Raw genomic sequence first — 20,359 nt, forward strand, 5'->3', positions numbered from 1 at the left:
TTTATCCTCTCTGAGTTTCAATTTCCCTATGTATGAATCTATTAATTATTCTTTTTGGAAAAAGTCAGGAGCCAGCTATGAGATTCAGCAAATGATTAGATACTAGGAGTAGAACACACACACAATATGAAATTGTTTCAAGTGATTAAAATAAGAGGCCAGGCACAGTGGCTGGTGCCTGTAATCCCAGCACTTCGAGAGGCCAAGGCAGGAGGATTGCTTTAGCCCAGGAGTTTGAGACCAGCCTGGCCAACACGGTGAAATCCCCCTACTAAAAATACAAAAATTAGCCAGGCATGGTGGCGGGTGCCTGTAATCGCAGCTACTCCAGAGGCTGAGGCAGGAGAATTGCTTGAATCTGGGAGGCGGATGTTGCAGTGAGCCAAGATCGCACCACTGCACTCCAGCCTGGGTGACAGAGCAAAACTCTATTTCAAAAACATAATAAACAGCTACCATTAAGCACTTCCTATGTGTCACTGTGCTTGGCACTTTAAAAAAATCACTTCACTTATTCCTTTCACAGATCCCAAGAGGTATGGATTCTTATTTTACAGTTGAGAGAATTGAGAGCTTTAATCAAGACTTTAGTAACTGCCCAGGGTCAGGCAGCAGACATAGTAAAGGGGCCAAAATAGGTGCCTAGATCTTTCCCAGTCTAAGGCCCTCTCTCCTTCCACTGTATCTTGCTGTTTTTTATGTAGCAGATGAATAATGCTAACATTTATTCTTACATTCCAAAGAAATCAGTATCTCTCTCTCTTTTTTAATTTTTTTATTTTTAGACAGGGTCTTGCTCTATCAGCCGGGCTGGAATGCAGTGGCTTGATCATTGCTCATGCAACCTCCATCTCCCAGGTTCAAGTGATCCTCCCACCTTAGCCTCCTGAGGAGCTGGGATTAGAGGCGTGCAAACACACGCCCAGCTAATTTTTGTATTTTTTGTAGAGATGGGCGGGGGCGGGGGCGGTGTTTCACTGTGTTGCCCAGCCTGGTCTTGAACTCCTGGGCTCAAGAAATCCTCCCTCCTCCCTCATTAGCCTCCCAAAGTGCTGGGATTACAGGTGTGCCCATTGTCTCTTTAGTACCTTTTAGATATATGTATTTTAAAAAGCACTCAATGAGGGTAAGAAACAAAGTGTGGACATAAATATAATCTACTAGTTTGCTGATCATTCATTAATTCACTCAATTCCCATTTACTGAGCATCTTCATACTCTGTGCTTCGTACTATACTTACCACAGAGGATGCAAAGATGAATAAAACCCATCTCTGTCCTCACAAGCTAGTAAATAACACGTGTTAACAGGAAACTGCTATAAAACAACAGAAGAGAATTTTGCCAAGAGATGATGGAGGCATATTACTATAAATTTAAATCTCTGCTATTAAATCTTGACCTAGGTCATTTAAAAACTGTATGTATACGGTTTGAAAGTATTTGTGTATTTACACATACATACCCTGAAACTAAAAGCTAATGTTCAGAACAGAATAGAAAATTGGCCATGGGCTGGGCGCAGTGGCTCACACCTGTAATCCCAGCACTTTGGGAGGCTGAAGCAGGCGATCACCTGAGGTCAGGAATTCGAGACCAGCCTAGTCAATATGGCGAAACCCCGTCTCTACTAAAAATACAAAAATTAGCCAGGCGTGGTGGTTGGCGCCTGTAATCCCAGCTACTCTGGAGGCTGAGGCAGGAGAATCACTTGAACCCAGGAGGTGGAGGTTACAGTTAGCCAAGATGGCACCACTGCACTCCAGCCTGAGCGAAAGAGCGAGACTCAATCTCAAAAAATAAATAAATAAAAAATAAAAAATAAAGAAAATTGGCTATGAACTATGATTCTGTTTAGTATGTCTGCTGCCAAGAATAATTAAGTTATTAATGTATTTAAGAAAGCATTCTGTCTTGATTAGTGCCATCTATTGTAATGGGTAAATAAAACATATTTGAATTGTCATAGCCTTGATTGCCATGGACATAAGCCAATATCATTAGAAAGTGAAACACATAAAATTAAATATATACTGCACAGAGTCCCTGTTTGAGTGGAAATAAAAGGTTCTCTTATTGACACTCAAAAATAGTGGAAGAAAGTAAAATTGATCCCTTCAATAAGTACTTTGATAACTGACTACAATATTAATATAAAGTATACAATGTGAGGTTGATTTCACTACCCATCATTTCACTGAGGCCAGAGGTGAAGTGAAAGGGCCCAGAACACTAGACTCCAGCATGTAAATTCCTACTGCTAGGAGTTAAAGTCACGTGGACCACACCTCTTTGTTTAATGGAACTAGGTTTTTCTAGGTATAAAATGTTTACTCCAGGCCAGGCATGGTGGCTCACGCTTGTAGTCCCAGCACTCTGGGAGGCTGAGGTGGGCGGATCACTTGAGGCCAGCAGTTCGAGACCAGCCTCACCAACATGGTGAAACCCCATCTCTACTAAAATTACCAAAATTAGCTGGGTGACGTGGTGGGTGCCTGTAATCCCAGCTATGAGAGAGGTGGAGGTTGCAGTAAGCCGAGATGGCACCACTGAAGTCTAGCCTGGGCGACAGAGTAAGGCTGTCTCGAAAACAACAACAAAAAAAATGTTTATTCCAGGCCATCTTCCTTTTCTCACACACTCTAGGGATTAAACATGTTTAATTGTGAGACAGCTGACAAATGGTTAGGAGACTAATCTCTGATAACAAATAAAGAAATTGGCCCCTAAGTCATTCTGTTGCCAGGGAATTAGCCCTTTAACTTGCAAATTAGAAATAACTTAGAAAGATTTTAAATATAATTCAATATCCCTAACAAATCTCAATTCAGACAGGAAAAAAATGTATTATGTTGATTTATAAAGCAGGTAACTTTAATAACGTATGTCTGGAACAAAATTTATCAATTTAATTCTATCAGTTATTACTAAAATTTGAAATAGTTTTTTTTTTTTTTTAATTTGGTGCTTGTAGCTTGGAAATGAGGGAGATCACATTTTGGCCCATAAATTCAACATAACTAATCTATAATTATAGGTGTATAGATAAATATCACTTATGTTTCTTTTACTTAGCTGAGCCTAAGAAACAGTAAAAAAACTTTTAACATAGCTTACAAATAATAAAGCAACCAATTAAATGGGTGATAAAGCTAAATTGTCACAAATTAAATTCCCTATGCTGATATGCAATCTTATAATATCCTACAACTTAAAAATATGAATTCAAAAACTATACATTACTGAAAAGTCATCTTTTTTCGGAGAGTCACAAAATCCTCCCTCCCTCTCTCCCTTCTATTTTTTTTTGGCGGGGGGTGGGGAGAGCGAGGGAAGAAATGAAAACTAGGGAAAAAATTATTTTAAAAAAAGGGGCACTTAATTAAGACTCTAATTTTTAAAAAAGTACCAACAGTTTTCATCTATTCCCCTATGCTACTGATAGCAACAAATATGAATACCGGCCGGCAATGAAAATGTTTATTCAGGTTGGCTTAAACATTACACCAAATTAGATATCAAGGTAGTCTCTAAGATTACAATAGTTTGCCTGTATACGACTCCAGTAGTATAGAAAGTGTAAAATGTGTTATTGTATATATTGGGAAGTATTTGCATCCTGCTAAACAAAGACTGAAAACAGTTTGAGAACCAAAAAGACCTTGCAATGTGTGGCTGCTGTAAGCCTTCATACGGAACTGTAAGGCTCCATCTTAACGACTTTTGGTTATTATTATTATTTTTTGAGACGGAGTCTCGCTCTGTCGCCCAGGCTGGAGTGCGAGGGCGCTATTTTGGATCACTGCAAGCTCCGCCTCCCGGATTCGAGCGATTCTCCTGCCTCAGCCTCCCGGGTAGCTGGAATTACAGGCGCCTGCCACCACGCCCCGGCTAATGTTTGTATTTTTAGTAGAGACGGGTTTTCACCACGTTGGTTAGGCTGGTCTCGAATTCCTGACTTCAGGTGATTCACCCGCCTTGGCCTTCCAAAGTGCTGGGATTACAGGCGTGAGCCACCGCGCCCGGCCTGGTTATTTTTTTTTAACAGAAAATAGGCCGGGAGCGGTGGCTCACGCCTGTAATCCCAGCACTTAGAGAAGCTGAGGTGGGTGGATCATTTGAGGTCAGGAGTTCTAGATCAGCCTGGCCACCGTGGTGAAAAACCGCTTCTAATAAAAATACAAACATTAGCCGGGTGTGGTGGCGCACGCCTGTAATCCCAGCTACCCGGGAGGCTGAGGCAGGAGAATCGCTGGAACCAGGGAGGCGGAGGTTGCAGTGAGCCGAAATCGTGCCCCTGCACTCCAGCCTGGGCGACAGAGCGAGACTCTGTCTCAAACAAAAAAAATAAAAATAAAAGTAAAATGAAAAAAAAAAAGAAAATAAAAAGTTTAAATAAACAAAAGGGCTGAGGATAGTGGGTTTATGCCTGTAATCCCAGCACTTTGGCAGGTGGAGGCGGATGGATCACTTGAGCTCAGGAGATTGAGACCAGCCTGGGCAATGTTGTGAAATCCCATCTCTACTAAAAATAGAAAAAAAAAAAAAAAAAAAGAAGAAGAAGAAGAAAAAGCCAGGCGTGATGGTATTTGCCTGTGGTCCCAGCTACTCAGGAGGCTGAGGCAAGAGGATCGCTTGATCTTGGGAGGCAGAGGCTGCAGTGAGAGAATATCCCGCCACTGCACTCCAACCTGGGTGACAGAGCTACATACACCCTGTCTCAAATAAATTAAATAAATAAATAAGCAAGTCAAGGTACAATGATTTCATATATTTATAGCTTCTCGTAGTATAGTTTTAGTTTTTTGAAACAAATGAAAAAATTTTTCACAGAATCCCTACCTACTCTCCTAACCCCCCAGGGAATGAAGTTATTATAGGCCTTTACTATCACTACAAATTCTACTGCAAAGAATCTCTCTTTAACGTCTCTGGATCAATACCATAATATAATGTGGTTGAAATGACTGCTTTAGTAATCACTTAGGGGAGTATCAGAGCACTTTCTTTTCTTACAAGGAAATAAATTTAATGTTTTGTCTTAAGAAACAACCATTTGTACCAGTCAGAAATGAGCTAACAAATATGGTGAAAGCATATCTGCTCAAATATTTCTATTACTTTGTAGAACTATTGATATTGAGATTCTCAATCCTTCCACAGGCCATTTCATACATTATATGCATTGCAAAATGAATATATGCCTGTTCTAAATACCCTTTTGAGTTAACCGACCTTATTTTTACTTGAATTCGATCTAGCATTCTGGAAAAATAAATTTAATGTAAAAAAAAATACACTCAATACATCTTAAATATAGTGTCTCATATTTTAAATCTGTATTTGCTGTTGTTGTTTCTCTCATCTGTATAATTTCTATGTCTCAGGAGAGGACTTCTAGTTAGCGGAATTTTTTTTCTTTTTGAGACGGAGTCCTGCTCTGTCGCCAGGCTGGAGTGCAGTGGCGCGATCTTGGCTCACTGCAACCTCTGACTCCTGAGTTCAAGCGATTCCTCTGCCTCAGCCTCCTGAATAGCTGGCCCTACAGGCACACACCACCACGGCCATCTAATTTTTTGTATTCTAGTAGAGACGGGGTTTCATCATGTTGGCCAGGATGGTCTCCATCTCCTGACCTTGTGATCCGCCTGCCTCGGCCTCCCAAAGTGCTAGGATTACAGGTGTGAGCCACCGCGCCTGGCCATGTTAGTGGAATTTTCATAACCACATCAAGCTGCACACTCTCTGAAGCCATAGAAGAACTGCTCTGTATCAGGTAATGTCAAATAAAATCCCTAAACAGTGCTTCTCCTCTACTTATTATTACCCTGATAAAAATAACTTCAGTAATTTTTGTCTTGGATTTACATAGCAGTTATATGTAAGGCATCTGCATTATATATTTAGGAAATAATACAACATTCCTTTATTCCTCTTAGTTGAAACTGCCTATATTGAACACTGGCAAAAGACTTCTAATAAAACACATTCTAAACCTGAAACAAAGGCGATATCTAAATAACCGACATTACATAGTAATTACATTCCTCACTATTTTCCTAAAACCATCATTTTCGATGTCTGCTTCTATAAAAAAAGAAACCAGTCCAAGAGGTGAGGAGATACAACCTATAAACATTGAAAAGGAGGTTTTAAAAATTCAAATACAAAACTGCTGGGTACAACCATAACAAAGCATGTGCATTCGAGTTTGAAAAGTAGGTAGGGCAGTATTAACATATCCTAAGTACTGTGAACAACTAGCCTGATCATTAGTTTAATTTTCACATCCCTCAGAGTAGGAGGCTGTCCCCCAACTCCCACCCCCTATTGCTTCCCACTATTTGTTTCAACCTTTTAATAGATACACTTGCCTCCCACCAGGACACACAGTGTCTGGTTTAAATAGGTTTATCTCTCTCCTTAGCTTGTCCTGGAATTACGCCTAAAGCTCAATCCTGGCAGCTTTTAGGATAAGAAATCTAATTGGAAAGAGCTCTTAGTTTTGCGACTCCAAAACCTCTTTTGAAAATTTAGTTTGACCTTCCAACTATCTCCAACAGATCAAAGTTAAACAGTCCAGATTCCAAACCTAGTATAGTTCCTTTAAATCTGCATTGTAAACATTGATACTGATATGCTGCCAAATCTAAAAAAGTTTCTTAGCTCCTTGAGCTAAAATGAAAAACCAGTAGTCCAGGAAAACGCAAGGGTCTATCAAAGAAATATTCTTATTAATCTAAAACACGGGTCTCCAAAAGGATCCCTGTCCCTTTCAACTTCTTGTGGAGGGGGAAGTGGGGGAGGTTTGAAGAAGCCCCTTCCAACTTTTCACCTGACCTTTTCATTAAGATCAGGAAGCCCCTCGCTTTCAAGACATCCACATCAGACTCTAAGGAACGAATGCGAAGCCAGCGGGCCAGTGAGAAGAGGTCAGGCCGCGCAGGTCTCTTGATCATTCCAAGATCTTTGTCCTGCAGCCAGCCCCACCAGCCCCTCCAGCTCCTCCAGCCCATGCGTTTCACTTCAGAGATGTTTCATGACATAATCCGGCTCCGGAGTCCCCCGGAGTCCCGGGGGCTCACACTCCACCCTCAGGGAGGTCGCTGATGCCAGACCCTGGGAGCACCTCCCCGCTCCACTCGTCTGCGCTGCAGCCGGTTCCTATTTGCCCGACGCCGCGACTGCGACCCAGGCTCCCCGCCGCAGCCGTTCTTGGGGGGGCTCCCGCAACTCAGCGGGCGCGACCCCCCGCCCGCTCCCTCGCTGCTCACGCCGGGCCCCCGCTATGTGACTGGGGGCCCGACCCGCACCCATGGGGCACCGCTCCTCCCTCGGGGTCCGCGCCTGCACCCGACGCTCAAAGCCCCTCTCGGAGTCCCACGCTCGCATGCGCTGTCCCGAGCCCTCTGGGGGTCCCCTCCTCTCACCCCGCTGTCCTGGCCCCTCTCGGGGTCACCCTGCTCCCACCCGCTGTCCCGGCCTCTCTCTAGGTGTCCTGCTCTCAGCCCCGCTGTCTCAGCCCAGCCCCCTTCCGGGACCCCTCCTCTTCTCCCACTGTCTTGGCCCTTCCTGGGGTCTTCTCACACTCTGTTCTAAGCCCTCTGGGGATCCCCTGTCTTCACATCCCCTGACCGGTCCCCTCTCTTTACTCTGTCCTGGATTCTCTCTGGGTCCCCTCCCCTCACCTCGGGGTCTCCTCTCCCCGGGTGCTGTCCCAGCCCCTCTCGGGGTCCCCATCTCTCAGACTCTCAGTGCCGGCCCCTCTCGGGGACCCTTCCCCTCTCCCCGCTGTCCCTGACCTTTTCTGGGACCTGGTCCTTCAGGGGACCCCCTCCCCTCATCCCCCTATCCTAGTGCCTCATGAGGCACCCACCCCTCACCCCACTACCCCAGCCCCTCTCCGGGTCCCTTCCTCTCACGCGCACTGTCCCGGCCCCTCTTGGAGACCCCTCCCCTCAGACTTTCAGTCTTGGACCCTCTCGGAGTCCTCTCCACTCAGAGCCACTGCCTCGGTCCCTCTCGGAGTCCCCTCTCCTCACCCGCTGTCCCGGTCCCTCCCGGGGTCTCCTCTCCACAGTCTGCACTGTCGAGCCCGCTCCCGCAACTCCCCTCACTCTGCCTGGGGTCCCGCCGCCTCGGCTCCCACTGTCATGCCCCGCGCCCCGGTGCTCTCACCTCAGACCTGCTGTCACCACCCCCGGGCCCGGCGCCGCCGCCGCCGCTTCCTCTCCCACACTTGTTCCTGAGTCGCTCTCCTGTGGCTTGTTCCCCGGCGGATCCTTGGGTCCGGTCGCTGAGTGCCGGATCCGGCTGTGCGCAGCCTCTGCTCGCGGTCTCGGCGTTGCGTCCCACTCTCCACGCAGGACCCCGCCGCCCGGCGCCACAAGGACCCTCCCGCGGCCGCCGCCGCTGCTGCTGTCCGAGGTGCGGCTCCTGCCAGGGGTGGCCAATCGCACCGGACTGCGCCGAGCACGCCCCGCCCCACCGTCTCAGTCCGCCCGCCCCCTGCCCCGGACCACGCCCCAAGCTCGGCTCCAATAGGCTCTCTACTGACCTTCCCTGATCGCGGGGCACAGGGCCGGGGCCGTATATAGGTATTTGATTGATGGAGCCTGGGAAGCCGAGCGGTCGATGGAACCCGAGGATTGGCGGAGTTGTCGATGGGCGGGACAGGGCAGGGCGGGGTCTCCTCAGACGCGGAAGACCTTGCAACTTTAGTAACCTACGGGCCCGCCTGGGGTGCGGTCAGTCTTGTTTGTGCTGCTCTCCGGTCAAAGTTCATGGCGCTTCTCCCCACGCCTTTACTTTTCTTGGGAGATTCCCAGGGACCACCATGTTAGAGCCTTTGGGGAGGACCCCAGTCTCTCGCTAGACCTTGCACAGCTTTCTTAGTAATTCTGCCATGAACTAATATAGCATTAATTTGCCCAGGATTTGTAAAAATTTCCTGGATTTAAACCATTTCTTTTTAAAATCTCTTGCAAGGGAGTTGCCTCTCCTTGAATTGAGTTCAGCAGCCGTCAGTTTGATACCGTTGGGGGAAAAAAAATCTATATACAGTACTAGGTGCATACTTTGCCCAACTAAGCGTTCAATGCGGGGCACATTTTGATAGGTGCAAGGACAAAGCTTTAGAAATTTTCAGTTTGTAGGTTTTTATGACAGTAGGAAGACTGTGGTAGGGGAACCCTATTATTAGCTTAACAAGGTTTCAGCAAAGCTATTCAATATAACCTTTTTCCAGGGCCACAGGTTTTAATGATTCTATGTGAACGTGTGGCCAAAGGATAACGAGCTTTGACCCAGGTTTAACATGTGATAATCAGAGACTCCTCTTGATCCACGCTAAAGGATAGTGCCTGCCAGGGGTGAAAGTGCATCATGCTACTAAGACCCATTTGTGTTATTTTTGTGAAACTGGATATGCTGATCAAATCAACACCGGAAACAGAAAACTGCTTTCCTTACTCTTAACGCCAAAAGTAAGTTTATGGACTTTAGAATTTAGCATTTTATGAAGAAATTGTCTCAGGAACACATTTTGATCCTAAGTTTTGTCAGATGTATACAGGCCTTAGTTCTCAGAGAACCCTCGATTGTTAACTTTTTAACTCCAGCTGACAAAATGTGTTTGTGTTCTAAACAGTATACATGTTTCTTCTAGTGTTTTAAGAATCATACGCCATTCATCACCTGAGGTCAAGGGTTCCAGACCTGCCTGGCCAACATGGTGAAATCCCGTCTGTACGAAAAATACAAAAATTAGCCGGGCATGGTGGCACCCACCTGTAATCCCAGCTACTAGAAAGGCTGAGGCAGGAGAATCACTTGAACCCGGAGGCGGAGGTTGCAGTGAGTCGAGATCGCATCACTTCACTCCAGCCTGGGTGAAAGAGCAAAACTCCGTCTCAAAAAAAGAAAAAAAGAAAAAGAAAAAAAAGAATCATACTCCATTCCAATTGTGATGTCCCCCTTTAAAGTTTCAGTTTGGGTGTTAGGGTAGGCAGAGAAGGCCTGGAAGCAAAGAAGTTGTGGAAATGGGGCTGGCAGGGCTTCGTTTCAAGTCAAGTCGAGTTCCTGAGCGGTGTGGCTGAGTACCGTTTTGAGAAGGGATATATAAAAAGATTTCAAGGTGGTAAAACTTGGTTTTGAGGGAACTTGATTTTTACAGGAGTATAGCGACTGTCCAAAATCATATTAAATAAATCTAAAGGTTAGGTAAGACTAAAGCCATAAGAGAATTTTTTTGAGTAGGTCCACCTTCACTAAAGAGCATTTTTTAGTTCTGCAGCTGGCAATCTGGACAGAAAAAAATGGGGTAAGTTTTCATAACCCAAGTGCTCAGTTGTGTCTATTCATTACATATAAAAAAGAAATGCATGACCATTAACAGATGCTGTTTGCAGTCAAGAAGACAGCAGTAAAACATAAGCAGGATAAAAATCTCAGCGTCTTGAAAGGAAACCATTTAGCAACGAAATAAACTTAAAAATTAATTGTATCAATGAACTCTTGATTTCTAAAATCTTTGCTTTTTCTGCACTATGATTACTGCTACTGACAGGAACGCAAGTTACTCAATATAGTTGATTGCAAGTAATTTAGATGTTCTCCAACAGCACAAAGAAAGAAAATGACTTCATCTTTTGGACAAGAGACAGTTCTGGAATCCTAGTTTAAATATAGATGGCAGACCTACGGTGCGATCTGAGAATGATTCTTATTTAGAAGGGGCTTCAGAAGATCTCAGAACTCCTGGAAAGACATCTTAGCATTCCATTCTGGAAATTCTTTAGTTTTGTTGGGAGAAAAAATCACTTACAAATAGAGCCAAGATTTTAATTAAAACAAGGTAGTAAATAAATGTCAAAATAAGTGGGATGAGAATAACGTTTCATTTTCAGAAGAGTCCATAGGGAACAATTCAGAGATAAATTTAATCACAAAAGGTCTGAGAATGGGAATATTCGGTTCCACCCTGGTTTTCACATCTGTTCATTTTCACTACTGGTTGCGTTTCCTACGGAGACTCGGGTGGAACATAAAAGTGGGGCTACTTTGGACAAACCATTAAAAACCTTACCCTTTTTTCTCGCTACACACAACTAGACCACATTGCTCTTAGCTAAAGGGACACCTTAAATCTATTCGTTCAGCAAAACTTATAACACCGTGTTCCTTTTCTACTCAGAGGGAATCGCACAAATTAATTCTTGCAGATACTCAGCTCTCCTGTTTTTTAAGCTTCCACGTGGGCCTTAGCCAAATAACTTCTGGTAGGCAAATTCTCCCCTTCTTCAGTTGAGAGCTCAGAGCAAGCTGTTGGATTAAGCAAAAGCACCTTTTAAAAAATTAATATTCAAGGCAGCTGTACCGCGGAGGGCCTGGGTCTCGGAGTCTAAAAAATCAGACTGGACGTTACTATTTTTTTTTAGGCAAACGACAGCTCGTTTCTCATTTGTAAAACCGGGGGAACATCTTACCGAATAAACCTTACACAAACAGAAAGGATTCCTAAGGGCTGGGAAAATACTATTTTGCTGTCCCCAGGATGGAATATCAGCATCCTTGTCTTTTAGCTCTTAATAAAGCTCTAACTAGTCACAGGAGGAGCCAGGCTGCATGATCACGCACACTCTGGACGTCTAGGTTTTCCGACCTAATAAGGGGGCAGGTCGCGTCGTTCCCTGCTTAAATTAGAGACCACCTCCACCTGCCAAGGGCCCTTCAAACCCTCCGCCCCTAGGTCGCTAACGATCACCGCTTTAGTTCTAGCTCCAGGCGCCGCCTGGCGGCTGTCTCCGGAAGTCGCCTGCGAGCCTCGGGGTCCTGACCGCTGCTGGGCCTGCCCGTAGATTTGCCTGACTCTAGCGAACCTGGCTCCGCCCCTCCCCCACTATACGTTGAGGATTTTAAGACGGCGATGAAAGGGCTGAGGTTGTGGCGACGGGGGCGTCCAGCGGCATCTCCACTCCCCCAAGGATGGCGGAATCAGGCCGTTGTCGGGCAGCTCTCGACCCGGAAGTCGCTCGCGGCGCGAGGCCCCCGTTGCCGAGCGCGGGCGCGGGGGGCGGAGCTCGGCGGAGACGGGGAAGGGGTCGCCGTGGCTGCCGGTCCTCGAGTTGGGGGCTGCCGCGGACACTGCTAGGCAGACGGCGAGTACCGAGCGCGGGTGGCCGCGGTGTCCGTGGGCCACGCTCAGCTGCGGTCAGAGGCGACATGAGTGCCGCGGGGCTGCTGGCCCCGGCCCCGGCCCAGGCTGGAGCGCCGCCGGCCCCCGAGTACTACCCCGAGGAGGATGAAGAGCTGGAGAGCGCCGAGGACGACGAGCGCAGCTGTCGGGGCCGCGAGTCGGACGAAGGTGAGTCCTGCCGCTCGCCCGGCCGCCCGGAGCGGAGGTGGGACCGCTGGGGGAGGGGGTGGGGCTGTTCGGGAGAGGGGCGGGGCGGCCTCCGGGGCCTGGGGCTGCGTGGAGGGGCCGCCGGGAGTTGCGGGGCTCGGGGAAGTTACCCCCATCCGTGCTGGAGTAGCGGGGAAGCCCTGGGTGCGTTACACTCGACCGTGATGGGGAGAGGGGACTTAGATGTTGTCACGCTGGGGGTCCCTTTAAGACCCCGTCCTCCCTCCCAGCCGTTTCTGATTGAACCTCACTCACTAGTAGGAATTAGAAACTCATTTACTGAATACATCGAGTGTAGTTCGCCCCTTTTTTGTGTGTGAGAGCATCAGAGTCCAAAGTTGCCCCTCCCCACCCCCGAAATGCATAAGTCATCTATACTTTAGGTAGTACACTATTGAGAACTCAGGTTGGTTAAAGGAAAGGGACCTAGAACCAGCCAGATACAGGTTTAAATTTGGCTTTGTCACTTAACTCAGCTTTGTAAACTTAAGTTTTCCAGCCTCGATTTACCCAACTGTAATGGAGCTGTTTAATTCCCACACCTGCCCTAGAAGGCACTTCCTAGGGTCGGTATAGGGATTAAATGACATGCGCATAAAGTACTTGGCCTGGTACTGTAAATACTCCGTAAATGTTCTCCCCACCCGCCCCCCTCCCGGAAACAGGTAAGAGAGGGAGAGATTTGCTTAATGGTCCCCAGGTGTTGTGTTTTCAGTCCCACGCTCTTTGCACTGTCATCACAGAGTCTCAGAGCCTTGCTTTTCAAACTGGGCTTTATAATTTGGCAAGTGTGAGGAACGCTATTTTGGAGGGATGGAGGAGGAGGAAGGTGATGAAATGTGAGAGATCAAGGGAGGAGAAATAGGAAACAAAGAGAGACCGATATATGAGCGGAATATTCTGGGACAAAATCGGGCCGTGGAGCAAAAGCTAGACCAGCTGTTTGGAATGGGGCCTACGTTTTATTCATCTGAGTTTCCCGAGTGCCAAGTAATGTGGCTGACCATGACAGGAACTCAGGGAAGGCCTCTTGACTGAAGGAGGGGAGAAGGGTTTGTGGGGAATTGGATCTGCAACAGCCTTACAAAAGACAGCTGCATATGCATGACATACAAAGTTGAGGGACTGCATTCGATTTAATTCCATCAGAAGACACGGCTTAACCAGAGATTTTGAATGTGAAGCACTTGCACTTCATCTCATACCCACGAGGGGGCGCTGTGGAGCCAAAATTGAGTTTTTTTTTCCTTCCAGTATAGGGGCTATTAAAATTTTGTACACACCCCAGCCATTAGCTTGTTCTAAGAACAATGTTTAAGATGTTCTGAAACAGTTTTCGTTTGATCATCTGGCCTCCTCCTTGTTCCCTTTAGTTGTAACTTGGAAAATATTTATTTGTGTCAGATTCCCCTTTTTTATTGTATACAGTTGGCTCTGCGTATCTGTGGGTTCTGCATCTGTGAATTCAACCAAGCGCAGCTCAAAAATATTCAGGAAAAAAATTGGATCTGTACTGAACATGTGCAGACTTTTTTTTTGTTATTCCTAAACAGTGTAGCGTAACAACTACTTACATAGTATTTACATTTTATTGGATATTGTAAGTAATCTTTTTTTTTTTTTTTTTAAGATGGGGTCTCACTCACTCACCCAGGCTGGTGTGCAGTGTCACGATCTCAGCTCACTGCAACTTCCATCTCCTGGGTTCAAGCAGTTCTCCTGCCTCAGTCTCCGGAGTAGTTGGGATTACTGGCACCTGCCACCATGCCTGGCTAATTTTTGTGGTTTTATTTGTTGTTTTGTTTATTTTATTTTTTTTTGAGATGGAGTTTCACTCTTGTTGCCCAGGGTGGAGTGCAATGGCGCGATCTCGGCTCACCACAACCTCTGCCTCCCGAGTTCAAGCAATTCTCCTGCCTCAGCCTCCTGAGTAGCTGGGATTACAGGCATGTGCCGCCACCCCCAGCTAATTTTGTATTTTTAGTAGAGACGTGGTTTCTCCATGCTGGTCAGGCTGGTCTCGAACTCCCGACCTCAGGTGATCCACCTGCCTTTGCCTCCCAAAGTGCTGGGATTACAGGCGTGAGCCACTGCACCTGGCCCTAATTTTTGTGTTTTTAGTAGAGATGGGGTTTCACCACGTTGGCCAGGCTGGTCTGGAACTCCTGTCCTCAGGTGATTCTCCTGCTTTGGCCTTCCAAAGTGCTGGGATTACAGACATGAGCTGCCATGCCTGGCCTGGATATTCTAAGTAATCTAGAGATGATTTAAAGTGTACTGTTGGCCTGGTGCAGTGGCTCATGCCTGTAATCCCAGCACTTTGGAATGCGAAAGCAGGTGGTTCACTTGAGGCCAGGAGTTCGAGACCAGCCTGGCCAACGTGGCGAAACCTCATCTCTACTAAAAATACAAAAAGTAGCCGGGTGTGGTGGTGCACCCCTGTAATCCCAGCTATTTGGGAAGCTGAGGCAGGAGAATCGCTTGAACCCAGGAGGTGGAGGTTGCAGTGAGCCGAGATTGTGCCACTGCACTCCAGCCTGGGCGACAGAGTGAGACTGTGTCTCATTAAAAAGAAAAGTATACTGGAAGATGTGCGTAGGTTATATGCAAATACTATGCCATTTTGTCAGAGACTTGAGCAGCTGAGGATTTTGGTATCCACGGGAGGTGCAGTAACCACTCCCCCACGGATACTGAGGGACAACCGTGTATCCTGATGTAAAATGTGCGAAGGGTTCCAACTGGGTATGTATCAGAAGAGAATGTACATACTAGTTTTTTTCTGGAGCAGCGAGTAAGGCTTGACTGCCTGCAGTGTCCAGTCTTACGCCTGCATCTCCTTTCTTGAGTTGCCAGCATTGTTGTTTCTGCAGAAGTAGCAGCCTTCACCATAACTGCCTGTGCCTGAGACACCCTATTCTGTGGCTGCATTTCAGGTAAAGGCAAGCTTTTTGCATAAATCTGACTGTAAGTTGGAAATGGCCTTTTCTTTTCTGAAGTACGGCTGTCCCTCGGTATCTATGGGGGACTGGTTCCAGGACTTCATGGATACTACAACCTGAGGATACTCAAATTCTTTGCATTGGCCTTTTGTGTCCACAGGTTTCGTGTTTGCAGATAGGGATGGCCTACTAACTGTATGTAATGTTTTTCATTGATGGCTTTGTGCAAGCCTGCCTTGAATAGAAATTGATTTTACGGGAGTTTATTGAGTGCATACTCTGTGTCAGGTGACGCCAACTCCGTGAATTATGATTTTAACTAGCCCCTATTTCCTAACTTTATTCAGACACTGAGGATGCTAGTGAAACTGACCTGGCAAAGCATGATGAAGAAGACTATGTAGAAATGAAGGAACAGTGAGTATGATATGCCTATGTCTTTTTGGAACATAGAATTGACAACATCTTTATATAGATTGAGCATCCCAAATCTGAAATCTCAGATGCTCCAAAATCTAAAACTTCCTGAGTGCCAGCATGATGCTCAAAGGAAATGCTCATTGCACTATTTCAGATTTCAGATTTTTGGATGTGGGATGCTCAGCTGGTAAGTATATTGCAAATAATCTAAAATTTGAAAAAATCCAAAACACTTCTGATCCCAAGCATTTCAGATAAGGGATACTTAATCTGTAGTAACCTTGTGTGTATGAGTTTGACCATAGCGCTTCCAAAGACCATGTATGTTTACAATTTCTCCACTTTAAATTAATTACATTTAATCAGTCTTCCCGTTATAAGACTTTGTTGAGTACTCTCTAGAAAGAATCTTGAGGGCAATGGACCCAGGGGAGGGAATGAGGCCGTACAACAGGAGAGGACCTTTTACTACTTACTCTTTTTTTTCCTTGAGACAGAGCCTTGCTCTTTCGTCCAGACTGGAGTGCAGTGGCAGGATCTCCTCACTGCAACCACCGCCTTCCGGATTCAAATGATTCTCCTGCCTCAGCCTCCTGAGTAGCTGGGATTACAGGTGCACGCCACCACGCTCAGCTAATTTTTGTATTTTTAGTAGAGACAGGGTTTCACCATGTTGGCCAGGCTGGTCTCGAACTCCTGAGCTCGTGATCCGCCCACCTTGGCCTTCCAAAGTGCTGGGATTACAGGCGCGAGCCACTGCGCCCGGACCTTTTTTTTTCTTTTCTTTTTTAATGGGCAAACCAATGCACAGAGAGGGTAATTGTTGTCTTGAAGCAATTGGGTTCTCAGGTGAGTGTAAACTCACTGCACTAATGTGCTAGACAAGGTGCCGGAGGCCTGGAGAGCTCAGAGAAGCCACGATTGAAAAGCAGGCTGCTGACTCTTATTTATTTATTTATTTATTTTTATTTGTTTAATTTTTTTTTTTGAGATGGAGTCTTGCTCGGTTGCCCAGGCTGGAGTGCAGTGGTGCAATCTTGGCTCACCACAACCTCCACCTCCCAGGTTCAAGTGATTCTCCTGCCTCAGCCTCCCAAGTAGCTGGGATTATAGACATGCACCACCATGCCCGGCTAATTTTTGTATTTATTTATTTTTTTTGTGTGGAGATGGAGTGTCGCTTTGTTGCCCAGGCTGGAGTGCAGTGGCCTGATCTCGGCTCACTGCAACCTCTGCCTCCTGGGCTCAAGCAATTCTCCTGCCTCAGCCTCCCGAGTAGCAAGGACTACAGGCACATGCCACCATGCCCGGCTAATAATTTTCGTATTTTTAATAGAGACGGGGTTTCTCCATGTTGGCCAGGCTGGTGTCAAAACTCTTGACCTCAGGTGATCCACCTGCTTTGGTCTCCCAAAGTGCTGGGATTACAGGCGTGAGCGACCCTGCCTGGCCACATGCTGACTCTCAGGCCAGTGCTCTGTCCACGTTTGCACCTGCTCTCACCCAAACCTTCTCATTGTCTTCAGACAGAGCCACAGCCGAACAGATTCAGAGAAACGAAAACCTCACTCACTTTTAGCGTACACCCAGATGGAAAACGGTATAAAGTATATTTAATGTATATTTGTTGAATGTGTTAGGTTTTTAAAGTTCTTTACCTTTTAACAGGATGATCCACATTCATTTCCCTTTAGGTCCTTTTTGCAAATGTTTTGTGGCCATCCTCTGGATTCTCACATTGTTTTTGTGCTTTGGAACTCAAAGGGGTAATTCAGCTAGGTCTAACCAGTGCTGAATAAAGATGGATTACTTTTTTTTTTTTTGAAACAGAGTCTCACTCTGTCACCCAGGCTGGAGTGCAATGGCATGATCTCGTCTCACTGCAACCTCCACCTCCTGAGTTCGAGTGATTGTCATGGCTAAGCCTCCTGAGTAGCTGGGACTACAGGCATGCGCCACTACGCCTGGCTGATTTTTTTGTTGTTGTATTTTTAGTAGAGACGGGGTTTCACCATGTTGGCCAGGCTGGTCTTGAACTCCTGACCTCAGATGATCTGCTTGCTTCAGCCTCCCATCGTGTTGAGATTACAGGCCTGAGCCATCGTGCCAGGCCACTTTTTTTTGAGACAGTAGCCACTTTTTTTTGAGACAGTATCTTGTTTTGTTGCCTGGGCTGGAGTGCAGTGGCATGATAGCAGCTCACTGCAGTCTCAACCTCTGGGGCTCAATCCATTGATCCTCCCACCTCAGCCTTCCAAGTAGCTGGGACAACAGGCACGTGCCACCACGCCCAGCTGATTTTTAAAATTTTTAGTAGAAACTAGGTCTCACTGTGTTGCCCAGGCTGGTCTTGAATGCCTGAGCTCAAGCATTCCTCCTGTTTCGGCCTCCTGGAGTGCTAGGATTACAAGAATAAGCCAATGTGCCCAGCCTTTTTTTTTTTTTTTTTAAGAGACAGGGTCTTGCTCTGTCGCCCAGGCTGGAGTGCAGTGGCATGATCTCGGCTCACTGCAACCTCCAGCCCCTGGGTTCAAGCTATTCTTCTGCCTCAGCCTCACGAGTAGCTGGGATTACAGGCGCCCACCACCACGTCTGGCTAATTTTTTTTTTTTAAGTAGAGACAGGGTTTCACCATGTTGGCCAGGTTGGTCTCGAACTCCTGACCTCAAGTGATCCACCCGCCTCGGCCTCCTAAAGTGCTGGGATTACAGGCGTGAGCCACCTTGCCTGGCCTCCCTTAGTATTTGATGATACAGAAAAAATTTCGGTTAAAATGGAATGCCTTGTGTAATTCAAGGGGAAATCTAAAGTGCATCAGAATTTGCCCTGAAAGAGTGAGATGTGTGTGAGTCTCAAATTCTGCCTACTCTCCTCCCCTTACAGAGGGTTGGGTTGTATTTGCAGCCCTTATTTGAGCGCTAAAAAGGTTATCACGCCCATGTGCTCACTTCAGCAGCACATATACCAAAAGGTTATTGTGCTTGTTATATGTTGGACAGTGTTCTTTCAGATCACAAATCTTGTTTTTATCACTGTTAAATTGAGGGTGTTTTTCAGGTAGAAGCAAAAATACTTGCTGAAATGTGATTTATATGTGGAACCCACCTTCAAACCAACTTGCTGAAGTTATGACTGCCTATAATCCATTAGGTGTGAGAGGAAAAAACTAACATGCCAAATGCTTTTGCTTCGTGTGTGCTGTGTATTCCCATCCAGCTGGGGCTGCCAGTAAATGCTGCCTTTTAACTTTTCTTTCTGAATTACTATTATTTCTCTGATCCTAAAAGAGTAGTGCTTTAAAAAATGACATGAAGGTTTATTGACTTAGTTCTTACACTGCTAAGCATATCTGCATAGAAAAACATGCTGAAGGCATAATCTTACTCTCCTGTAACTTACAATCTAATTGTAGAGTTGATGTAAGAGTTGTGTTTAATGCCATTTCTACATTGTGTGTGTGCTTGCCTGTTTATAATTGTCATTTATTAAAATCTGCTATCGTTGCAAGTTTTAGACGGATTCTGTAAAGATGGGATAACATGGGAGAATCTACAAAATTAGAATAAGATTGAGGAACACAGGGTTCTTTCTTGTTCCTTTCTGATCCCTGTGGCTGCTGGTGCATTTTAAGCCAGCAAGCAGACTTTACTTTCCTCTCTTCCCTGAAGGACATTAATGACCTTCCCATAACAGCCCAGCTAATTTCTGTGAGTAGGTTATTTTGGAATTGAGTATTGAATGTTTTTATCTGTTAGTGTGACTTTTTTTTTTTTATAGGATGTATCAGGACAAACTGGCTTCTCTCAAGAGGCAGTTGCAACAACTGCAAGAAGGTTGGTGTGTGATTGAATCCTGCATTTCTAAATATGCTTCTTAATATTACAAACCCTTGAAATCTGTGTATTTCACTTCTCTGTGGGAGTTATTTAAAACACGGTCTGGCTGATCTTAGCTATCCAGTACATTTTGCTATCTTTTGCTGTCAGTAAAGTGGTGATTTTCCAGCTCCTTGATTTTGAAACATTTATTTCCAGTATGTGTGAGATTCTTTCTTCAAATGAAATCTCACTTGGGACTTTCAATGGAGCACGAATTGAACGCCACTGTGCCTAAAGCTAGAGATTTTTAGGAGAGACATTGTTATCAAAGAATAAAGTTTTTACTGTTTTTTCTAAACCAAATGTTAATGACCTTGTGGATTATTCACACTGTGTTTTCTCCTTTTTGCTTGTTACATTAAAAGTAGATTGTATTTTGTCAAATGCTGCTAGCTGCTAAAGGCAGTGCAGCATCAGAGTTAAGAGTGCAGGCTGTGAGGCCAGGCGCGGTGGCTCACACCTGTAATCCCAGCACTTTGCGAGGCCGAGGCGGGTGGATCACGAGGTCAGGAGATCGAGACAATCTTGGCTAACATGGTGAAACCCCGTCTCTACTGAAAAATGCAAAAAATTAGCTGGGCGTTGTAGTGGGCACCTGTAGTCCCAGCTACTCTGGAGGCTGAGGCAGGAGAATAGCGTGAACCTGGAGGCGGAACTTGCAGTGAGCCAAGATCGTGCCACTGCACTCCAGCATGGGCGACAAAGCGAGACTCAGT

At 45.9% G+C, this 20,359-nt stretch overlaps 2 protein-coding genes and 1 long non-coding RNA gene across 12 annotated transcripts in view, besides 8 other annotated features; 1 reads left to right on the forward strand and 2 right to left on the reverse strand.

The window, feature by feature from the left end:
* Nucleotides 1-8,438, reverse strand: part of TAOK3 (TAO kinase 3) — a 223,107-nt gene extending 214,669 nt beyond the window's left edge. For all 7 annotated transcript variants that reach the window (NM_016281.4, NM_001346487.2, NM_001346493.2 and 4 more), the window contains exon 1: nt 8,179-8,438. The gene's annotated coding sequence lies outside the window, so the exon portion shown is untranslated. The remainder of the gene's footprint in view (nt 1-8,178) is intronic.
* Nucleotides 7,278-7,367: a silencer, noted in NCBI's record as "silent region_4925". NCBI's record gives its function as "represses an Ori minimal core promoter by ATAC-STARR-seq in GM12878 lymphoblastoid cells {active_cell/tissue: GM12878}" and the evidence as "EXISTENCE:reporter gene assay evidence [ECO:0000049][PMID:35858748]".
* Nucleotides 7,468-7,527: a silencer, noted in NCBI's record as "silent region_4926". NCBI's record gives its function as "represses an Ori minimal core promoter by ATAC-STARR-seq in GM12878 lymphoblastoid cells {active_cell/tissue: GM12878}" and the evidence as "EXISTENCE:reporter gene assay evidence [ECO:0000049][PMID:35858748]".
* Nucleotides 8,312-8,561: a silencer, noted in NCBI's record as "silent region_4927". NCBI's record gives its function as "represses an Ori minimal core promoter by ATAC-STARR-seq in GM12878 lymphoblastoid cells {active_cell/tissue: GM12878}" and the evidence as "EXISTENCE:reporter gene assay evidence [ECO:0000049][PMID:35858748]".
* Nucleotides 8,882-8,931: an enhancer, noted in NCBI's record as "active region_7111". NCBI's record gives its function as "activates an Ori minimal core promoter by ATAC-STARR-seq in GM12878 lymphoblastoid cells {active_cell/tissue: GM12878}" and the evidence as "EXISTENCE:reporter gene assay evidence [ECO:0000049][PMID:35858748]".
* On the reverse strand, nt 10,829-11,658 carry LOC124903031 (uncharacterized). Its single transcript, XR_007063480.1, has 2 exons — nt 11,487-11,658; nt 10,829-11,322 (listed from the first exon to the last, which is right to left on the reverse strand). It is a non-coding gene; the product is annotated as an uncharacterized LOC124903031 (long non-coding RNA).
* Nucleotides 12,083-12,302: a silencer, noted in NCBI's record as "silent region_4928". NCBI's record gives its function as "represses an Ori minimal core promoter by ATAC-STARR-seq in GM12878 lymphoblastoid cells {active_cell/tissue: GM12878}" and the evidence as "EXISTENCE:reporter gene assay evidence [ECO:0000049][PMID:35858748]".
* Nucleotides 12,083-12,641: a biological region, named in NCBI's record as "H3K27ac hESC enhancer GRCh37_chr12:118814415-118814915".
* SUDS3 (SIN3A corepressor complex component SDS3) overlaps nt 12,086-20,359 on the forward strand; it is a 41,479-nt gene continuing 33,205 nt past the window's right edge. For 2 of the 4 annotated variants that reach the window (NM_022491.3, XM_047429355.1), the window contains exons 1-3: nt 12,086-12,364; nt 15,693-15,762; nt 19,543-19,598. In NM_022491.3, the coding sequence (NP_071936.2) occupies nt 12,223-12,364; nt 15,693-15,762; nt 19,543-19,598 (268 nt within the window). In that variant the 5' untranslated portion in view covers nt 12,086-12,222. Of the gene's footprint in view, nt 12,365-15,692; nt 15,763-16,500; nt 17,366-17,390; nt 18,916-19,542; nt 19,599-20,359 lie in introns of those variants that run through there. The other 2 variants (XM_017019817.2, XM_047429356.1) reach the window with 2 other exon arrangements.
* Nucleotides 12,141-12,641: an enhancer, noted in NCBI's record as "H3K27ac hESC enhancer chr12:118814415-118814915 (GRCh37/hg19 assembly coordinates)". NCBI's record gives its function as "activates a minimal SCP1, AML or CMV promoter by ChIP-STARR-seq in naive H9 embryonic stem cells {active_cell/tissue: H9 hESC(naive)}" and the evidence as "EXISTENCE:reporter gene assay evidence [ECO:0000049][PMID:30033119]".
* Nucleotides 12,333-12,482: a silencer, noted in NCBI's record as "silent region_4929". NCBI's record gives its function as "represses an Ori minimal core promoter by ATAC-STARR-seq in GM12878 lymphoblastoid cells {active_cell/tissue: GM12878}" and the evidence as "EXISTENCE:reporter gene assay evidence [ECO:0000049][PMID:35858748]".

The sequence above is a fragment of the Homo sapiens genome, chromosome 12, assembly GCF_000001405.40.
Source record: "Homo sapiens chromosome 12, GRCh38.p14 Primary Assembly".
NCBI lineage: Eukaryota > Metazoa > Chordata > Mammalia > Primates > Hominidae > Homo > Homo sapiens.